This window comes from Homo sapiens, chromosome 16, assembly GCF_000001405.40.
Source record: "Homo sapiens chromosome 16, GRCh38.p14 Primary Assembly".
In the NCBI taxonomy this organism is placed as follows: domain Eukaryota; kingdom Metazoa; phylum Chordata; class Mammalia; order Primates; family Hominidae; genus Homo; species Homo sapiens.
The window spans coordinates 33,137,323-33,144,249 of NC_000016.10; the positions used below are offsets into that span (position 1 = coordinate 33,137,323).

The window sequence follows — 6,927 nt, forward strand, 5'->3', positions numbered from 1 at the left end:
TTATTGCTCCAAAGATCATTATGTAATAACTACTAAATAATCTATATGATTGTACATTTGGGAAACCATGAAAACTTTCTAAAAGAGCTCTGCTGTTTTATGTAACAATCATGAAATATTTCCAAATGCATAAATATAAACAATTACAATAGAAAATCTGAGAGACAAAAAAAGCTATGATAGTATACCAATGCAATTTCTTGAAAACAGATACACATGAAACAAAGAATAAAGGAACAGCAGGAAAATGTGCCACTATTGTGGTTACAGCTTTGAGGCAACACATTAAAATGCCAACCAGACACAGGTGGCAACAGATGTATCTACCACCAAAAAAAAAAAGTTAAATCAAGTGAAAAATTTCAAATGAAGTAACTGTTCAATGAAAAGGAAAAAGAATAAAAACCACATCTGCTTACATGGCAATGAAACATGAAAGATTCTGCTAAACATTTATGTTGAAAATTAAGATGGAGGTAATTATGCACACTCATCCAAAAATAGAAAACAAGGAATTAGTGGACCAATGCCAATGTTAATTTTGAAAACCTCAAGAAGAAGAAAATTAAGATATGGTTGATAGGTTCTCTACAATATAGCAAGAAAACTCTGCCCAAATTCTAAAGGATACAAAGTCTACTCAATTTAAAAACAAATGGCACGTTTCTGTTTCTTAAAAGACATACGCATAATCTGTGAGTGCATTTTCTACTTTAGAGACCATTTGAATTAAAATCCTTAAGTTCTTATGAATGTTTTCAAAATATGTACAGTAAATGAATAAAGCCCACAGTTATTTAAGGATAACATTTAAAATTATTTACTAAATCTTTAATATTAAAATAATAGTACATGCCATCCAGTCATAATCAAAAAAGCCAAGGTGATTATGGAGTATTGAGGCTGAAAAGAGCAAGATCTAAACCAACCTATTCTGGACTTCACTGTCAAGGAAAAAAATTGAGAGGAAAATTTTCAGAAAATACTTATACTTGTGAGATTGGTGATGAGAAACAATCTGTGAAATATTGCCATTTCTCTGGAGTAAAAATTTTAAATGATTGGTTATCACGATGTCCCTTTCTCTTCACACTCAACATCTTTCTGATTTGCTCCTCACATCTCAGGCATGCTGAGGCTATAATGTCTTTCCGTCTACCTTAGGTTTACTATTTTAAAATTGATTTTTGATGTTGTTGTGAACATGAATTTTGTATTAATACAGGAGGATGGGGTGTGTATTTCTGAAAGTCCAGAGTTGTAGGGGCAAAGAAGAGATTTCTGGAGTTCCCCTGCGTGCCTGCTTACAGAGGTTTCCTTCCTGATATTGTCAACTTCTACAATTCTTGCTCTGGCTCCATTTTAAAGCCCTGAGCAGTTAAGTGTCTTTTCCCGACCCTCATTTATACTACCATGAGGCTCCTTTGTAACATGAAATGTACAATGTGACCAATTGTTGGCTGCCCAAACAAACATACGTTAGGACTTTTCACTCTGGCCTCCTATACTGAAACATCATTCACATTTAGTAAAGGAAGGGGCACTCTGTTAAACTCACCACATTCTTTACTTTATGGAGTCAGATAGAGATATTCCACTAAGTCCTTTTGCTTGATCCCATAGAGACCATCCTAGGAAAACTGAATTAATATGAAAGCAGGTAGAGTGAATATTCATTAAAGTCATTTACAACAACATCCAATAGTGTCTCCAAGTGGAACAGATATTTAGAGACCATTTGGCAGGAGATAGGATGGGGAAAGAGAGTGGCTGATGCATGCTGAGAAGTAGGAGGAACAATCCAGCTTTTAAAATATTGTTCTTGTTAAGAGTCTGTTTATCAGGTTAAACACAGTCAAGTGGTCAGTTGGGTCTAATAATTCAGTAACTGAGAACAGATGGAGAATACATGGATATGTGTCTGTGTGTACACTCACATGCAAAACCAGTTGCCCTGACTTTATCTTACTTACATCAATCTATTTACTGATTTTGATAGGAAGAGTATGTATTTTAGATACCTCAAGAGTATCTCCTGAAATACTTCCATATTCTTGCCTTTTGAAGAATCTTTTTAAAGGAAGAAAAATAATTATTAGCAAAGAATTCACATTCCCAATGGCTCCATTTTCATCTCCTTAATCAGGTGTTAAAATTCATGGCTTGGGAAAAGTGGGATGTTTACAAGGCCTATCTATACCATTTATCTATACCATTAGTTTTAATAGCCTGTTCACTTGAACAATTTCTAAGTATGTGGTAAAAGAAACTAAACTAAAATAATAATGCATTATATTTGAAAACATCAGTATCCTGTACACAAAACTTCCATAAGTAGTTCTTCCTAGATTGAAACTAGAACTAATCCATTTCCAAAATCATCTATATTTTTCTGAAGACAAAAAAAATGTTGCTACAGATAATTGCCATAGGCTGCAAATATTCTGATTCATCCAGTATTTCTCTCTTGTTGCATGTTGTATAGATAAATATAATGCATCAATATTAGGATAGCATATATTTTGTTAAATGTTAATGCAGAATTCTAAATTTTCTAGCATTCACAGAAAAGCAAGCTACTGATAGTAAGTAGTATTTAAAGAGAAATCTTATCTACTACAATGAATTGAGAAATCCAGGATATTAAGACCACAAAAATGATTGTTTAGATGATTTAATTATAGCACAACAGGCTTTTCTGCTGATAATGTTATAATTATGTTTTAATAACCCAATCTCAACAAACATAGCTAGAGTACAAATGATGAGCACAAAAATCCATCTCATCTGTAGCTCAGACTAGTATTTCAAATGTAATTTCTCTATTAGTAATTTAGTCTGATTTTTATAATTCATTAGAATAAATCAATAACTGACTTAGAAATCACTTCTGTGATTTTTTTTCCACAGAAACATTAACAATACCACAAGCATTAAAATGTTGAGAAATATTTGTATATGATGATGTCAGTGGATGTTCCTTTCCTCAGCTAATAAATTCTAGTATAAAGTTTTCAGATCTGTACACAAAAATGGATCATAAAAATATAATCATGGTAGAAACTAGCAATTTTATGAATGTGGAGAAAGAGTTCAAATAGTACTTTTGTACTGTACTGTGTCCATGCAAAGCTTCATTCAATCAAACAAAAACAATACTGAATTTATTATGTTAAAATATTTAAGGACACTCTGGTAGATGAGATCATTTTCCTGCATTTGTTCACACTCTCTCCTATCTCCATCTCTAAGGGACAGATATAATTCCCCACTCCTTGACTTTGATCCTTGCTGTGTGATTTTGCTTAAGCCAAAGGGGTATCTTAGAGGATTTCAGGCAACAGAAGCCTGGCATGTTTTTGCACAGGCAGGTTGCACTCCTGACTTTTGCCATAACAATAACATGCTTCAAGTACCCGGGAGGGCTGAGGAGAATCACAAATACGTAGAACAGATCTGGACACCAGCTGCAGCTTCAAGCCAATGCTAGCCAAGCCCAGCCTAGATCAGCTGAACTGCGTCTGACCAGAGGTGCATGAACAAGGAAGGCAACGCGGTGGACCTGGGCCAGATGAGCAGCTTCTACATTGGCCTGTGTTCCCGCCTCCACTGCAACATTTTCTCCTACCACTACTCTGGCTACGGTGCCAGCTCGGGCAGGCCCTCCGAGACGAACCTCTACGCCGACATCAACGCCGCCTGGCAGGCCCTGCGCACCAGGTGAGGGCGACCCCGGGCGCAGCTCAGCCTGGGCACACCCGAGAGGGGACCAGGCCGGGGGCCAGGGGCCGGGGGGAGGGGCGGGCTTCCCTGGGAGGAAGGTGGGCGGCCCTGCAGGAGAGGAGCCACAGTGGACGCATGCTGCCAGAGAGCCGGACAGGTGAGCTCAGGCATGCGGGTGCTGCCTCCACATGGCTGAGGTGTGGCCAGGAGGTCCCCCCACACCCTGGCCTGTGGAGCCAGGCTCCCTGGGATCCCCTGGCCTGAGGACAGGAAGGGGCTGAGCTTGTCACAGGGGCGTGGACACCACCTGGCGGGAGGGGGTGGGTGGTGTCAGGGGGTCTGTGCATGTGTGGCTGGGAGCCCACGGGCTGAGGCCGCACTTGGGGCCAGGTGAGGCGAGGCTGCTGCATCGAGGTCCCAAGGCCTGGCCCATGAGGCCCCGTGGCTGTGGAGCTCAGCCATCCCGGGGCAGGGCCTGCAGGGTCAGGTGCAGACCCCCAGCACACACCTGAGGTCTCGGCCAGCTTCGATTCCAGATCCAGCCCTCCTAATCATCCAGGTCCCCAGCCCTGCGCTTGCCTGGGCCCTTCACTGGTGTTTGAGCACCACCCGGGCCAGTGCTGCTCTGGACTAGAAGACCCGCGTGGGCCTCTGGGGGCCTTTCCTGCTCACCACCCGCTGGGGCTGTCTCGTCCTGGCCCTGCCCTGCCCAGCCCAGTGGTCTGACCCGCTCCTGCAGGGGCCAGGCGCAGCTCTGAGAAGTCAGAGGCCCTGGGAGGTGGGGTCCTCGTTGCCTTGGAGATATCCCAGGCAGTCCCTGCTGTGGGCGTGGGAGCTGGGTCCCCTGGCACCACCCTGGCTCTGGGGGCCTCCCGGCAGTGTGGGGCGCCGAAACCAAGCACCACTTCATGCAGCTTCCTGGACCCCCTCCTGTCTCTACTGCCCGGGGCACTGGCAGAGTCACACCCCCCATGGCCAGCTCTGAGCTCTGTCTACTCTGCCGTCTGTCCTGCTGTCGCTTTGTCCTGCAGGATCCTCAGCCCAGAGCCGTGAGGGGGAGGCCAGATAGCGCTCAGGGCCTCTATGGAGGATGTGTCTTGTTTGATTGTCTGAGTGGTGACATCTAGGTGGCAGCTGGGGGCTCCTGCCTGGAGCAGGTGACAGGGCTGGGCTGGCTCAGCACACTACTGGCCTTGGCTGCCAGGGAGCAGGCCAGGGAGGCTGAGGCAGAGCTGCAGCCACAGGCACAAGCCAGGCAGCATCCTTTGGGGCATGGGTGAGCAGTGAGCTGTGGAGTGCTGCCAGGAGGCTGGGATTCCAGGCCAGGGAGGGAGACAGCCCTGCTGGTGGAGTCCGAATGCCAGCCAGACGGGACGCACACCTGCCCATGCTCCTGCCTTGCAGGAGGGCATCTGCCTGGCATCAGAGCCTGGAGCTTGTGGGAGGAGAGTTCTGGGGTCTCGGCATCGACAGGGTGGCAGGTGGGTCCCGCGTGGTTGGGACTGGGCATGAGGAGGCCTTGGGACTGGTGCTGGGTCAGCTGGGCCAGGGGCCGCACACCAGTGACCTGGGAGTGGGGGTGGCCCTGGGTGGGAGCTGGTGGTGCTGAGGTGGCGGAGGACTTGTCCACTCCCAAGGGAAGGCACTGGTGGGAGGAGATGCTGCCCCCGCAGCCACCACCCTCGATGTTGACCTGGGTTGGGCTGGCAGCTCATTGGGCATGGGACTCTGAGAGTCCAAAATTGGGTGGAGACATCTGGGGACACAGCTGCCTGAATTCCTCATGGCCAAGGGGGTAGGCAAGGGCTGCAGGGAGGAAGAGTGTACCCTGTCCCGGCCAGTGCACCAGGAAGAGCTTTCTAACCTGGGCAGGAAGGCGTGAAGCATTCAGGATGTGGGAGGCCACACAGTTCCCAGTGTGCGCCTAGGGGTGACCAAGAGGAGGAGAGGTGCCAGGGCTTCCCCTACCCTAGCCCGAGGGGGACTCCCTAGCCAGGATCCAGCAGATCCTGGCTAGGAAACGCCAGTGAACCATAGTGGCAGGGAACAGGACCAGGCCGCCGGCTTCGCCCACCGCTGCGGTGTTGGGGGGCTTGGGGGTGGCCCTTGAGACTGGTGTGGAGCCTGGGCCTGACCAACTGACTTGGCTGAGCGGGGAGACTGGAGAGTCGCATCCGGAGCTGGGCCCGGGGACGCCCGCTGGCAGGAGGGGTGCGCGCGCGTTGGAGGCCTAGGCTGACCCTGCTCAGGTGCCGCCAGGTACCGCATCAGCCCGGACGGCATCATCCTGTACCGGCAGAGCATCGGCACGGTGCCCACCGTGGACCTGGCCTCGCGCTACGAGTCCGCCACGGTGGTGCTGCACTCGCCGCTCACCTTGGACCTGAGCGTCGCCTTCCGGACACCAAGACCTACTGCTTCGATGCCTTCCCCAAGTGAGCAGGCTGGGGCGGGGACGGGGGCGGGGGCGGAGCGGGGCGGGGCCCGGGCCGGGCGAGGTCTCACCCGCCCCACGCCCCTCCCGCAGAATCCAGAAGGTGTCCAAGATCACGCCGCCCGTGCTCATCATCCAGGACACGAAAGACGAGGTGATGGACTTCTCGCACGGGCTGGCGCTCTCCCAGCGCTGCCCCAACGCCGTGGAGCCGCTGTGGGTGGAGGGCGCCGGGCACAAAGACATCCAGCTCTACAGCCAGTACCTGGAGCGCCTGCCCGCTTCATCTCCCAGGAGCTGCGCAGCCAGAGCGCCTAGCGGCCGCCAGGGCCCCAACCGGCCGGACCTCAGCAATAAGGCAGCCCCCGGACCTCACCCCGCGCCGGCCCCCCCAGGGACTGCATGTGGACCCCCGGGCGGCCCGGGGGACCCCGCCCCAACCCAGGGGCCGTGGACGATGTAAAGGCAACAGAGCTACGCACTCCTTTCCTTTTGGAAGCAAGAAGAAAAATCGTGAAAACGGAAATTAAAGATTTAAATTTTTTTTTAAAAAAACACAATGTTTATTAATATACTCCAAAGTTTTTCTTTTTTTTTTTTTGAGACGGAGTCTCACTCTGTCTCCCAGGCCGGAGTGCAGTGGCGCGATCTCAGCTTACTGCAACCTCCGCCTGCCAGGTTCAAGCGATTCTCCTGCCTCAGCCTCCCGAGTAGCTGGGACTACAGGCGCGTGCCAGCATGCCCAGCTAATTTTTTGTATTTTTAGTAGT

At 49.1% G+C, this 6,927-nt stretch overlaps 1 pseudogene; it reads left to right on the plus strand.

Annotated features, from left to right (window-relative positions):
* ABHD17AP9 (ABHD17A pseudogene 9) lies at positions 3,546 to 6,701 on the plus strand (annotated as a pseudogene).